The 14,797-nt window shown below is 45.9% G+C and overlaps 1 protein-coding gene across 14 annotated transcripts in view, besides 3 other annotated features; it reads left to right on the top strand.

Annotated features, from left to right (window-relative positions):
• Positions 1–14,797, top strand: part of SSH1 (slingshot protein phosphatase 1) — a 79,393-nt gene that overhangs the window by 23,957 nt on the left and 40,639 nt on the right. For 6 of the 14 annotated variants that reach the window (XM_047429022.1, XM_047429023.1, NM_018984.4 and 3 more), the window contains one exon: positions 10,266–10,369. The exons of 1 other annotated variant lie outside the window; for it this stretch is intronic. In XM_047429022.1, coding sequence (XP_047284978.1) covers positions 10,285–10,369 — 85 coding nt within the window. In that variant the 5' untranslated portion in view covers positions 10,266–10,284. 7 more of the 14 variants (XM_011538499.2, XM_011538497.2, NM_001161331.1 and 4 more) reach the window with 4 other exon arrangements.
• Positions 1,835–1,944: an enhancer, noted in NCBI's record as "active region_6980". NCBI's record gives its function as "activates an Ori minimal core promoter by ATAC-STARR-seq in GM12878 lymphoblastoid cells {active_cell/tissue: GM12878}" and the evidence as "EXISTENCE:reporter gene assay evidence [ECO:0000049][PMID:35858748]".
• Positions 5,396–5,967: an enhancer, noted in NCBI's record as "H3K27ac-H3K4me1 hESC enhancer chr12:109221436-109222007 (GRCh37/hg19 assembly coordinates)". NCBI's record gives its function as "activates a minimal SCP1, AML or CMV promoter by ChIP-STARR-seq in naive H9 embryonic stem cells {active_cell/tissue: H9 hESC(naive)}" and the evidence as "EXISTENCE:reporter gene assay evidence [ECO:0000049][PMID:30033119]".
• Positions 11,591–11,640: an enhancer, noted in NCBI's record as "active region_6979". NCBI's record gives its function as "activates an Ori minimal core promoter by ATAC-STARR-seq in GM12878 lymphoblastoid cells {active_cell/tissue: GM12878}" and the evidence as "EXISTENCE:reporter gene assay evidence [ECO:0000049][PMID:35858748]".

Here is a 14,797-nt window from a genome sequence, read left to right as displayed (position 1 = left end):
GGGGCTGCTTGGATGTCGCCTGGCTCACGGGGGTGAGGAGGGCCAGAACTGGGTGGTGCCTGAGAGACCTGAAAGGAGGGGCCTCTGACAAAGTTAGGACTCGGTGACAAATGACTGTGGTATGGGGCTGCATACCATAGACAGGGCTGAGAACCTGGGACAGTCGGGATAATCTCTTCTCGGAATTTTTGAGCTGTCTCAGAAACATTTCCTTCATGTGCCTGTTATTTCTGGCGTGTTTGGCTGTCTTTGCTGCCATAGCATTTCCCGCACAGTGCAGCCTTTATACCTTCTGCCCTCGTGAAGGGGCTTAGATCCTGGTAGAGCAGATGATGCTTGGAGGAAGATGCATTAGCTCCAGCTTCCATGGGGCCTGAGGGCTCTTGGGGTCATCAGGGAACTATCTTAAAATTTGCTAAACCAAGCCAAGACACATCACTTGCTGTCTTATTTAGGGAGAAAAAAAAAAAAAAGCTTGCTTTTGCGAGCTCGCTGGTCAGTTCAGCTGCTTGCCGCTACCCGTTGGTTTGAAGGAGAGCTGTGTAGCTGGCTCAGAGAATGTCTCTTACTGTCTGAAATACTTTTGGACATTCCTTCTCTCTGAGAGAAGCCTACGCCTTCTAGCCAAACAATACATGTTCCAGCAGCAAAGATATTTGTAATGAGCCCTGCCAGCATTCCTTGTCTGTGACCCCTTTCCCTAAGTATAACGCTCTGCAGAGCTGGAATTTTTCTATGCTCAGCATTATGTGTTTAGGGGGGTACAATTTGGGAGCTCCGGTTGACAGGTGTGTCCCTAAAGTTACTTGTTTTCTTAGGCTCTGAAGAGTGACATTTGGAACGAGGCCCTGCCATGTTGCACTGCAAGGCCCACAGTGAAGAAGAACGAGACCTTGGCCCAACTCAGGGTCTTTGTGACTTTTAAACACGAGTTCCAAATGAGGGAAGAACCTGTGGGAGAACCATGGAAAGAATTTTCCATCCGACCTGCAGTCTTTAGCTAATCTCTCTCCAAATGGTGAATTTTCGATCTCCTTTACATCTTTATCAACTTCACTTTGCTAGGCCTGGGGTTCTGAATCCATCCAGAGCCTCACTGAGAGTGGTTTTGAGGTCAGTTGATTAGCTTTCCACGTTGCTGCTATTGCTGCAGGTCAGATGGTGCTGCTTTCTGACCTATGGATTCTTCAGGAAGAGCACCGAACTTTTTCAGCCCCATTCTACCTCTTATTAGCCAGATGACCACAGACAAGTCATTTATCTTCTCCCAGTCTTGGTGGTTTCATTTTCTTTTCTTTCTTTTCTTTTCTTTTGGGAGGCGGGGGTGGGTGGGACAGAGTCTCCCTCTGTCTCCCAGGCTGGAGTGCAGCGGTACAATCTTGGCTCACTGCAACCTCTGCCTCCCGGGCTCAAGTGATTCTCCCACTTCAGCCTCCCAAATACCCGGGACTGCAGGTGCACGCCACCACACCCAGCTAATTTTTGTATTTTTTGTAGAGGCAGGATTTTGCCATGTTGCCCAGGCTGGGGTTGTTTCATCAGGGGAATGGGATTGTAAAAATTAAGTGGAAAAATGTAGGGACAAACTCTCTATAACTAGAAAGCTATTATTTACATATTTAAAACAATATATGTTGATAGTATACCAGGCATTCAGGTGCTGAGAATTTGTGATGTTGACAGTGCGATGTCTCAACCACAAGCATGAGGTTTGTTTCTTAGGTTTGCACATTCTGAAACTTGAATTTGTGAGTTCACTCAGGGATGATCAAGTTCTAAGAAACCAATTTACGCTAACCAAACTTATAAGGAACTGATATATAAAGCACAATTTGTAAATTGAGGTTTATGAACCCACAGGGGGGCCTTTTATGACAGAGGCCAAATCCTCCTGGGTTCACAATAAGGTACATGTAGCATAATCATCTTACTCTCCTGCCCCTTATGCCTCTCTGTTTACTGATCCTTCAGGGCCTCGCAGGCTTCATTTCTTCCAGGGAGGCCTCCCTGAACCCCTGTGTGTACGTGCATCTGCACCTTCCACCTCCTTCCACCGTGGAACTTGCTGCCTTATATCGAAGTTACTGTCCTGTGCCTGCCTGGCCCTCCAGTGTCACTCCAGACCAGGTGTGGAGTGGTCTGTGGCATGGGTGGAAACCGGGTCTGTTTCACTTCTAAATTCTCAGGCCTTAGCACTGACCGGACACAATAGACACTCAGCAAATACTTGTTGATCGAAACCGAATTAACAGAGCCTCCTTTTTGGAATGCTCGTTGGCACCCATCTTTCTATGCTGACAGCATTACATTAGTTCCTTTTTCTCCTAGAATTACCATCAAGTTCGCTGGACAATTGACAGTCCCCTCAGTAATCACCATGCAGAGTGGGGTACCATTGAGGGTTAGTTCTATCCAGGGAAAAGTGATTCCGTTTGTCTCAGCCTGTCCCATCAATCTGGGACCCTTTACAGGGCCTCTTCTTCAGGCTCATATTCTCTACTTTTTTTTCGAGATACAGCATCAGAAATCCTAAATTTGTACTATTTAACTCCCTGTTTCCTTAGGCATAAATTAGTGTAATAATGCCTGTCTGGTCTTCCACACGGTTTTGTGAAGATCAGATGAGTTGACATTCACCAGAATGCTTTGTCCACAGCAGAGTTTGTCAAAGGTCTGATCTGAGGTTGGTCTCGGTGGCTCACAGCTGTCACCCCAGCACTTTGGGAGGCCAAGGCGGAACAATCGCTTGAGCTCAGGAGTTGGAGACCAGCCTGGGCAACATAGCGAGACCCCATGTCTGTTTCACACAGCACAGGTCTGATCTGTTTTTGCTTTCACTGTCATCATTTCGTATTGTCATGATGCAGCGTCTCCCTTAGAGGGCCAGAAGAACATTCAGGTCTCTGAAAGTGTGTAGTAGAAGACTAGCATCTGTTTTACTGCTTCCAAAGAGAGTATTATTTTGTTTTTGACCCTAGCATGACCTCCCTTTATTGCACCTAATCACATCACCCACCTTCTGAGAGCACCATGCCTTTTTGTTGGTGTTACCTTTTACCAGCAGAAAACATCGACGTGTACCTATGTGAGAGGTATCTTTATGAAGCCCATGGAGAAGACTGTTTTCTCTGTGTCTTCTGATGTTGTTTGTTTGTGTGTTTGTTTTTGAGACAGTCTCACTCTCATCCAGGCTGGAGTGCAGTGGGGACTCCAGGATCACAATCTCCACTCAGTGCAGCCTCGACCTCCAGGGTACAAGTGATTCTCGTGCCTCAGCTTCCCAAGAAGCTGGGACTACAAGTGTGCGTCACCACGCTCAGCTAATTTTTGTATTTTTAGTAAAGACTGGGTTTCACCATGTTTTCCAGGCTGGTCTTGAACTCCTGACCTCAAGTGATCCACCCACCTTGGCCTCCCAAAGTGCCAGGATTACAGGCGTGAGCCACCATGCCTGGCCATGATGTTATTTGATTCTGAGGTTTTTAAAACTTGGCTGTGCATCAGAAGCACCCCCTGGAACTTTCTGGAGACAAGATCTGTCTCCCAGGTTGGAGTGCAGTGGTGTGGTCACAGCTCACTGTAGCCTTGACCTCACCAGGCTCAAGTGATTCTCCCACCTCAGCCTCCTGAGCAGCTGGGACTACAGGCACACACCACCAAGCCTAGCTAATTTTATTTTTATTTTTTTGTAGAGATGGGATCTTGTTACGTTGCCCAGGTTAATCTTGAACTCCAGGGGTCAACTGATTCTCCCACTTTGACCTCCCAAAGTGCTGTGATTACAGGCATGAGCTACCATGCCCAGCTCCCTGGAACTTTTTAAAAAAGTAGATGCCCAGGACTCATCACAGACCTTCCGAATTAGACTCTGCTGAGGCTGGACCTGGGCATGAATGTGTTTTAGGAGTTTGATAGGTTGTTTCAATGTATGACCAGAGTTGGAATTCAGGGGTGTTTGGATATTCCATACTGTGATGTTTCTATACCTACTATTTTTGTTCTTCAAGAAATGCTGTTTCTATGCAGCAGGGCAGACACCCAGATCACCAGCACATATACCCATTCCTTAAAGAGGATGGCTGTCTTTGCCCTTATCAGAGCTTGGGCTGGCTTGGCTTACCCTGTGCTCCATGCTCTGCAAATGTTTGCCTGTTTGGATGAATGAACAGAACCCTGTAAGGAATTCTAGGGGTTAATTCTAGGGGTTAATCAGAGTATATATGGTAGAATGTAAATTGGAACCCAGAAATATGAATTCCCAGACCATTGTTTTTACTTTTGTTCCCCACCGCCCCTGCCCAAGACAGTGTCTCACTTTGTCGCCCAGGCTGGAGTACAGTGGTGCGATCTTGGCTCACTGCAACCTCCGCCTCCTGGGTTCAAGTGATTCTCTGCCTCAGCCTCCTGAGTAGCTGGGATTACAGGCATGCACCACCACACCTGGCTAATTTTTGTATTTTTAGTAGAGACAGGGTTTTGCCATGTTGACCATGCTAGTCTCGAACTCCTGACCTCAAATGATCCACCCATCTCAGCCTCCCAAAGTGCTGGGATTACAGGAATGAGTCATCACCCCCAGTTTTTACTTTTCTTAAACCTTAAAGCGCGGCAGTCACCATGGGCGTTGTCCATGCTATCCCTGGTGATTCTATTTTGGAATTGTTGACGGGCTTCCTTCGTTTGTCATATGGAGAAAATACCTTACCCTGCAGAACTGCCAGAGTTCAATGACGTGGCGTAGCTAAGTACCTCCTACAGCCTTGGCCACATGGGAGATCCTCAGTAAATAATAGTCCTGTTGATGAGAAACTTACCTTGAAAGCGACTTCTTGGTCAGCGTGGCTGTGTGGTTTACAGAACTCCTTAGCCTCTATGCAGTGCAGAAGGGCCAAAGGATGTGTCCTGTCCCCCAACTATGACGGCAGTGGTGGGTAGGATAAGGCTGTGGGTCCCCTGCCCTTCTGATTTCTACTTGGGCAGATGGAAGAACCCCGGCACAGTCTCGTCTTCCTGGAGTTCTGTTTGCTTGAATGGTTCCTTCTCTCTCTTTCCCACGCATGATGCATTCACACACTGGGAAGAAGGACGGAAGATGTGATCCACATTCTGACTTCTCAGTGCCTTAGTGGCTTTGCCATTAGGCACCTGGGCAGGCATGAGCGGATGTGACCGCAGCATAATGGCTCTGATTTTCATTCTGGATGAGTAGAACAGCTGCTTAACAGGGGTTAAGCAGGTGGGCGTGGGGCAGATAGATGTGAGTCCAGCCCCATCTTGTAGAGATATGTGCTCCTAGGCAAGCTGGGGTTTCCTCACCTGCAAAACCAGAATCATGGTAATGTGTGTTTCACTTAATCCGTAGGGAGGATCGCTTGGTCACTTGTGAGCCGAGGGAAGAGAAGCCCCTACTCAGTGCTGCTTCCTTCAGGAATTGTTCCAGAAGTCACCAGTTAAATGCTCCCTCCTCCCTCTTGTAAACCCTAGCCGAGCCCCTTTCTTAGGGTACTTATTCCATTCTCTCCTGCGTCATGGTTATTCACATCCTGAACTTATTTCTCTCACTGAAAGAAACGCTAAAAACACAGCTCTTGGCTGGCTTGTGCCTGGAGGGTTTGGGATCACACCTCCAACCTTTAGGACCTTTGCAGCCTGACCTGCCTTGGGCACCGTGCGTATCCCAGAGCTCCTCATAGGTGTGCATGTGGTCCCCTCTACCTGGCGTGTCCCCTCAGATAGCTGTTAGCATGACTGAAGAATTTTCAGGATGTAACCGTGCTTTGAGTACGCAGAATAACTAACTGCGGCAGCTGCCCACGTCACCGTCACCGTTGGGTAAATGGATGCTGATTTGAAAGAAAGAGTCATCCTTCAGAATGTTGATTTGAATCGGAAGGGGGTCTTGTTGCTTGGGGTTGGTTCCTTGGGGCCAGTTGTTTGCCCTCACAATGTCGAATGCACACCCCGGTGCTTGTTTCTCCGGCCTACAGAAAAGCCCGTAGGAGTGCAGTGATTAGAGGAACCTCAGCTGTTTTGCTGAATGGCCCTCTTTCATCAGGATGTGCTGGGACAAGGGCCTTTTTCAGCCAAAATATCAGAGGAAGACAAGAGTTCCACAAGAGCCATTTGCTTTTCGGGTAGGACTCTGAGGAGGAGTTGGCTCCCCAGCCCTCGTGGAAGCACTCGGCAGCCTCCTGGCTTTTCCTGATCTCCATAGGGAGCAGATGGCCAGAGCTCGGAGGGCAGTTGTAGGGAGCGTTAGAGATGTGAGCACTGCAGCCACGAACCTCTTTTATTTTACCGACTTCTGCATCTTCCTTCAGCCAACCCACTGCTTCTGCTGTCCAGAGGTTTCCAGCTCAAATTAGTACGTATGACCACCCTGATTACTGGTTTCCTGCCATGGCTTGGTTTCTGGATGACACTGGCTGTTTATATTTTGGGGGCCTGGGGTTTTTTGAGGAGCATTGATTGAGGTTTTTTGTCTGTCTTCAATGCTTTGGAGAAACTTTAATCTTATGAAGCTTCCCGAATGGCAGTAATCAGTGTCCGAGAACAGATCTGTGTGGTGGAGATAAAAACATTCCAGTTGGCGGGTAGAGAGGGCAGCGGCTTTTTTTTTTTTTATCCCTCATCAAGATTTTTCTTACAGCGGTGGAGGAAGACATTTCCGTTTTGTCTGTCTGCGTCTGACCTTTTGTAACTTTAGTCACTCCTTTTAGGACACTCAGATCTTTTGTGAGAAGAGTGACTTCTGGGTGGCTGGGATGGATGGCTTGTGGGTTTGGGCTTCCTGGCCCCAGACACCTGGTAAAGTGAGCGTGCCATCACCAATGTGGATTTCTTCATGGACTTCCCCAGTGGGACACTTTGAGGGTCTGATGAATCGGGAGCCTGTGCCTCTGGGCATCAGAAGCTGCAGTCGTCAGATACAGTATTCAGGTCAGCCACGCAGAGGGCGCATGAGGCTCTGGGCCCAGAGTGAGCTCAGAAGAGAAGCCAGGAAGCCGGGTCACAGAGACTTTCTGCATCTTGTTTTCATAAATCCTGTGACTGACCATGCTCTGCGGCCTCCCACCCCACCCCCCACCCGGAGAGTCATGTCGTGCGGTTTCCTCTGGCTGTATCTCCTGACTGTATTTGCAGGACGCAGGGTGATCTCACAGCTTCGGGATAATGCGCTGCTACTTGGGCTTCCCTGCAGCTTCCAGTCTTGCTTTTTACAGTAAATGCCTGTTACTTGATTGTCGTGGGGGAACAGAGGCAGAGTGTTCCAGGGCCCCAATCAATGCCATCCTGACTTCATGCGTAGAGCAGGAGTCCCTGATTCTTATCAGTGTAGGAACATGGAGGAGGAACAGCTGGCCTTGTAAGTGATCACAGAGTGAAACCAGCCTAGTCTGTTGCATTGTTCCTTTTTTTTTCCAAAGGAAATATAAGGGAAACCAAGGGGAATTTTTGCTCATGGTTTCCAAGGCAAAGGTCATCGTTAATGGTTGGCTGTTTCCAGCGTGCTTGGGTTTCTGGTCAGTATGAATTTTTTTTTTTTAATCTCATGAACAAAAGCAGTTGATGTTGTCTCGAAAAGATTTTCCCAGCTGCTTCGATGAACTGATGGTTGTTTTAGGTTTCATGAGTTTGGAACCTCTCGCATAGCTGTTTCAGATTTTGATGAGAATAAATAGTAAATGATCTGTGTCTAAGAACAGTTCTGAAAACATACTCAGCTGTGAGATTCTAAGGAAGGAGAGAGTGACAAGCTTTGCAGGTGGAAAGGGTTAGGTGATTCTGCAGCCTGTGAAATGAGATCGGCCAGATGGATGCTAAAGAGCTTTTTACTTCCTATGAGTGAGGGTGAGACAGCAAAGAAAGGCTGCTTCTCGTTTCTTTCGTTATTTATAATCCTGAGCTCCTCAACACTTGAACCTTGCAGCACAAATATATGCCTGTGAGAGGGTGGAAAGGATGACTCGGCAGTGCATCTGCAGTAGTGGACAAAATGCTGTTAGATGTCAAGTATTGGTGTCACAAGATATCGAAAACCAATTGCCTGGAATTCAGAGGACTGAACAAGAAGGCAAAACTAAGTCTTCTTACTTAATATTTGAGCAGTCACTATTTTTAGCATGAGCATTTAACCAGAAAAACTAACAGATTTTATTGTGGACTTTATATCATAGAACATAACAGTCTTCCTGATCTCAGGAGCTGCTGATTGGAAATGCTAGTTCCTGTGGCATTTTCTTGGCACCCAGAGTCATACTTTAGACTTTGCTGAGTTTTTTATTCCAGAATTCGAACGTTTAACTACTAACATTAGATGTCTGGGGCAAAGGTGATCTTGCTTTCTTGTATTACAGAAAACATCTTCGTCTTTCTGTCAGGAATTGATTTACTTAATTTCAAGGTTCTCTTTAATTAGAAGACTGCTTTTTCTTAGGGATTTTTCCTTCAAATCATGTATATGTTCATTGGTTGTTCAAGAGCGAAATTTTTATAGTTGCCTACAATTTGAACTGTGACCTCCTTTTATGAAATTATTAAGATTAGAATGTTCTTTTTAAATTATATAGTAGTGTTTTATATTATTTTGAGAATCAAACAAAAGTAGATGTTTTAAAGGTTAATATATGTTTAATATAGAACATTTGGAAAATACTAGAAGATAATCTATTCCTCCTCCTCCCCCACCTCCCGCAAAGCCGTTGTTAATAATTTTGGTGTATTTTATGCATAATTTTGAGAGTTGATGGTATTTTTGAACAATTGATAGTAATTCATAGCTGAAGCATTCTTTTCTTATGTCTTAATTTTTGCAAAAGCCAGACTTGATAGCCAAGTCATGAAAGTGAAATTAAAAATAAAAACTTTTGATGTACGACGGGGTCTCACAACGTTGCCCAGGCTGGTCTCGAACTCCTGGGCTCAAATGATCCTTCCACCCCAGCCTCCCAAATAAACATTTTTTAATTGTAATTTTTAAAGTTATAGGTAGTTATAAATGTTATTGCTAGCTAAAATAACAAAGGCCAAAGATTCATTCTGCTGAGAAATTCATTGGGCCAACTTGAGGTTTTCCTCAAGAATAGTGGACAGGACAACCTTGACTAAGTTAAATCACAAGTCAGTATCCACCCACTTTTTTCTTTCTTTCTTTCTTTCTTTTTTTTTTTTTGAGACACAGTCTTGCTCTGTCGCCCAGGCTGGAGTGCAGTGGTGCGTGGTGCGATCTTGGCTCACTCCAACCTCCGTCCCTGGGGCTCAAGTAAGCGATTCTTGTGCCTCAGCCTTCTGAGTAGCTGGGATTACAGGCATGTGCCACCACGCCTGGCTAATTTTTGCATTTTTAGTAGAGACAGGGTTTCACCATGTTGGCCAGACTGGTCTCGAACTCCTGACCTCAAGTGATCCACTGCCTTGGCCTCCCAAAATGCTGGGATTACAGGCTTGAGCCACCCGGCCCCTCCCCACTTTTCTTAAAATGCAAACAACTAGTGAAAGTGTAATTTCATCTTGTATTCCATCAAGGGAAGTCACCAAGAAACAATGGAGTTGTTAAAAGCCAGAGAGTTAGAAGCAGAGATCAACAGCAAGAGCATGAGAATTCACAAAGTAGACTGCCCTCTCCTAATCAGGGAGTTGTTCTCTTTTCTTAGAAAATGTTATGGCTGGGCGTGGTCACGCCTGTAATCACAGCACTCCAGGAGGCCTAAGCAGGCAGATTGCTGGAGGTCAGGAGTTTGAGACCAGCCTGGCCAACATGGTAAAACCATGTCTCTACTAATAATACAATAATTAGCTGGCCATGGTGGCACATGCCTGTAATCTCAGCTTCTGGGGAGGCTGAGACATGAGAATCGCTTGAACCCAGGAGGCAGAGGTTGCAGTGAGTTGAGATCACACCACTGTACTCCAGCCTGGATGACAGAGTGAAACTGCGTCTCAAAAAAAAAAGAAAGAAGAAAATGTTATATGACAGTGAGATCCCTGTCCAGTATTCTGCAGAAAGGGGCCCTGGAGAGCCTATGTAGAACTTTGGGTGTTGTCACAGAAGCATTATTTTGTCACGAAAATTCTCCAGCAGCAAGCTTTTAGCAAAAGCAAGGTTTGAGAAAAGTACTACGTGGAATTATTATAAAAGCAGTTTCATCCTATTTGCATTTTACATGCCATTTGTCCACGCTAAAGCTTTTTCCCCTGCAGTAATTCTTTGTCCATTTTCCTGTCTGAATTCCGGTCTAACTGTGCTCTGGTCTTATCCTTCCCAGCTTAAGTGAGAGCTTTTTCATGGTGAAAGGCGCAGCCCTCTTCTTACAACAGGGAAGCAGCCCTCAAGGCCAGCGGAGTCTTCAGCACCCCCACAAGCATGCAGGTGAGGGCTCTAAGTTGATACTCTTACATTGGAGCTTCTTTTCTGGACAGCAGAGGAAACTTCCATTGTTGGTGATGTTGCTGAGTTTGAAGGCCTTAGACATAGTGGACGCAGGTTTGCAGTGACCAGTGCAGGCAGAGGCTCAGATGCTCTCTCTTGAGCAGACCACGCACATTTTCCAACCTTTTATGTCATGTCTGTCTGCGTCAGGAGTAAGGTCAGCAGCATCCTGCTGGGATGCAAAGATTTCCTCTCTGTAGTTTATCAGTTAATTGCAGGCTGTAAGTTACAGCCTGACTTTTTAACAAATGCACCAAAATGAATTATAGCCAGATGTCGTCCACTTGAAAATAACCATCTGGAGTGCTGTATACCTAATCTTGGGATGGATTTCTCCAAGCATTTGAAAAACACTCATTTGGAGAATTTCTTGAAGGGCCTTTGGCTCCAACTCTGAGATAGACACTGTAGTAGGAAGTCTTGATTCTGTAATAGTTTGTTTTTAGGAAGTAGACAGAAGTAATAGGGTGAGGATCAAACTGAGTTTAAATAAGAAGTGCCTACTAAGTAGTAAGACTGGTTTTCTTAGGAGACTTGACTCAGAGCTGAAGGCAGTTAGAAAGAGGAATTCAAGAAATGCTTGCGTGGCCCTGCATGGTATCTCACACCTGTAATCCCAGTGCTTTGGGAGGCTGAGTTGGGAGGATCGCTTGAGCCCAGGAGTTTGAGGCTGCAGCAAGCTAGGATCACGCCACTGCACTCCAGCCTGGGTGACAGAGAGAGACTCTGTTTCTTAAAAACAATAACAACAAAACACACTTATGGCCAGGCACGGTGGCTCTTGCCTGTAATTCCAGGATTTGGGAGGCCAAGGTGGGCAGATCTCGCTTGAACCCAGGAGTTCCAGACTAACCCGAACAACACAGTGAAACCCTATCTCTGCAAAAAATACAAAAATTAGCTGGGCGTGGTGGCGCATGCCTGTAATCCCAGCAAGGTTGGGGGCTGAGGTGGGAGGATTGCTTGAGCCCAGGAGGTCGAGGCTGATGTGTCACCACAGCCAGCTAGTTTTTTGTGGGTGTGTATGTAAATGAGGTCTCACTATGTTGCTCACTGTGTTGCTCAGTGAGCCACGATTGCGCCACTGCACTCCAGCCTGGGTGACAAAAGAAAAGGACCCTATCTCAAAAAGAAAGAAAGAGGAAAAAGTGCTTGCATGTAAGTGGATCTTTGTCGTAGGTGGACAGCATCTCAGGGCATTTCTTGGAGAGGCAGTGCATAATTGAATGTCTGTGAGCTGAGAAGGCCTTTACCTTTCAGAACAGCAGCAGGTGAAACCAACCAGCTATTGTGGCCAGTTTTCTTGTGAACATTTTGTTTGTTTAACCTCAAGTCATTCAGCTTCATTTTAGATCTGAGTGCTCAGGTTAGAATTCTACACCATGCAATTTATAGCAAACACCAAGGCTCAGTCAGTATTTTCACATACTGATGTTGATGATATTTAGGTCTGTTTTAAGCAAAGAAAATAACTGTCCTGTACAAGGAGGCAGTGTGGTTTGTGGAAATAGTATTTGTTTTGAAGCCAGGCAGACCTGTCTTCTGATCCTAGTTCTCCAACTTACTAAGCCGTAACAGGTCGACTTCTAAGCCTCAGTTTCCTAGTCTTTACAATGGGCATCAAATACTGGTGCCTCAGACAATATGGAAATTTAGAGTTATGCGTGTAACATACCTACCTGTAGTAGGTGCTGTATATATATATGGGTAACTATCATTGTTATTACGATGACTTCTAGTACAATACAGCTATAAACAGACCCTTCATTCTTTTTTTTTTTTTAATTATATGAAAAGTTTTTTTAGAGACGGATCTCATTCTCTTGCCCAGGCTGGCGTGCAGTGGCCTGATCATAGCTCACTGCAGCCTCGACCTCCTGGGCTCAAGTGATTGTCCAGCCTTAGCTTCCTGAGTAGCTGGGACCATAGATGCGTGTCACCACACCCAGCTAGTTGTGTGTGTGTGTGTGTGTGTGTGTGTAGATGAGGTCTCACTCACTATGTTGCTCAGGCTGGTCTCCAACTCCTGGCCTCAAGCCATCTCCCCACCTCAGCCTCTCAAAGCATTGGGATTATAGGTTTGAGGTGCCATACTCAGCCAGATTCTTCGTTCTTGAATTTGCTAATTATTCTGCCCTCTTAGAAATGTAGCTGTTGTTCATGTTTTAATTGTAACACATATGACAAAGCAAATGCTCAAGCTCTGCTCACTAAGTGTCAGATACCTCCTTCCTCTAATCCAAAGACTAGAAGGGTAGGATGCAAGCCACCAGCTGGCTGACTCTTGTGCCCTGAGGTCTGGAGTGGACGATGAGGTCGGAAGGCAGAGGGGCCGCCAGCTGTCCACAGTTGGTCTGTAAATGACCTTGGGACAGACGCAGACTAGACTTACGTTAGTTCCTTTTTTTCCCTAGAATTACCATCAAGTCTCCTGAATGTACCAGAGGCCCCCCAGTAACCACTGTGCAGAGCTGAGTACAATTGAGGGTTAATTCTGTCCTTGGAAAAGTAGTTCAGTTTGTTTCAGCCAGTCCAGTCAATTTGAGACCCTTTCTAGGGCTTATATTCTCTGATTTTTTTGTGTGTGGATGTCAGACTGGGGTTTGGATTTCTGTCTGTCAGCAGTTCCATATCTCAGCAAACAATCCCACTGAAAGAAGTTTATCTGTGTGGAAAATGTCCCTTTCATTTAGGCATTTATCAGACAGGGGTTTGTTTTTGCTTTCCCCAATGCAGTTCTGTGACTCGGGTAGATGGTGGGAGGGCCCAGGCAGGTGAAGAACCAGCTCATGGTCGTTGTCGTTGTGTTGCATTGGTGACATGACGGGTGGAGGAAGGGGCTGGGGAGGTCTATGGCTTTCTTTAATGTGAACCCTTATCTCCAAATCGCTCATCATAGGAAGCAGGGTCAACACAGGGTGTTATACACTGTGGAATTGTATAACTGGAGAGGACAGATAAGAGGGGCATGGTTCTTTTCTTTTTTAAATTTTACTTATTGTGGAAAGAATGCTTAATTGGCCTGGGTTTGGTGGCTCATGCCTATAATCCCAGCACTTTGGGAGGCTGAGGTGAGAGGATCATTTGAGTCCAGGAGTTCGAGACCAGCCTGGGCAACATGGCAAAACCCTGTCTCTATTGAAAAAAAAAGAAAAAGAAAGAACGCTTAACATGAGATCTACCCTCCTGGCTAGAGGCACAAATTTCTAATGACCCAATTCCTCTCTGAGACAGGAAGTGCAATTTGGACATCATCTGTCCTTCTCCCTTAAAATGAAAAAGATGCTTTTGCAAAAGGAACAAACACAATGTTTCCTTTTGGAGCATTTGAGTGTGTAAGCATTATTGATCCTTTTGGGGTTGTAATTGTGATGTATAGAGTAATTTTTTTTCCTTTGTAGAGACAGGGTCTTATCGTGTTGCCCAGGGTGATCTCAAACTCCTGGGCTCCAGCGATCCTCCTGCCTTGGCCTCCCAAGTAGCTGGGACTACAGATGTGAACCAGAAAGCCCAGCTAATTTTTTACTTTTCTGTAGAGATGGGGTCTTGCCATGTTGCCCAGACTGGTCTTGAATGCCTGGCCTCAAGTGAGTCTCCTGCCTCGGCCTCCCAAAGCACTGGGATTACAGGTGTGAGCCACCACACCAGGCTGATATTAGCATCTCTACAGATGACCCTTTCTTCAGAAAGAAATCCTTGCAGATATAAAGAAAAATGTGTAAGCTAGAGAAAAAAAGCAACCTTGGAGTCACACCTGCTACTTACTAATTATGCACCTCCCTTACAACTTTCCCCTCCGTGAAAGTGTGCGCTTCTTCTGACAGGGTCTCTGCTTCGCGCGAGACTCATGGCCAGTAAGAGACTTTCCTCACTGCACTCCAGGAACACCTCCTGAACCCTGGGGCAGCTCAGAGAAGTTCAGAAGCCGTCCCTGGTTACTGCCTGTTTTACATAGTGAAGAAAAAAGAGTACATAATTTTTAGCAAGAAAAGAGAAAATGACAGATTGGTTTCTATTCAAATTATTTCTCTGGGCAACCAGCATACAGCTGCTATCTGTAGAGTCACTTAAACATTTCCCCCCGCCCCCCCGGTTATGGAAATAATGTCTGCCTCCAGTGGAAAATGCAGAAGTTTGAAGTGGGGCCTGGGTGGGGTAGCTTATGCCTGTAATCCCAGCACTTTGGGAGGCTGAGGCGTGCAGATCACTTGAGGTCAGGAGTTCGAGACCAGCCTGGCCAACATGGTGAAACTCCATCTCTACTATAAATACAAAAATTAGCCGGGTCTGGTGATGGGCACCTGTAATCCCAGCTACTTAGGAGGCTGAAGCAGAAGAATCTGTTGAATCCAGGAGGCGGAGGTTGCA

This window comes from Homo sapiens, chromosome 12, assembly GCF_000001405.40.
Source record: "Homo sapiens chromosome 12, GRCh38.p14 Primary Assembly".
Lineage (NCBI taxonomy): Eukaryota > Metazoa > Chordata > Mammalia > Primates > Hominidae > Homo > Homo sapiens.
The sequence above is the reverse complement of the archived record's forward strand: the minus strand, read 5'-3'. Positions and strand labels throughout refer to the sequence as shown.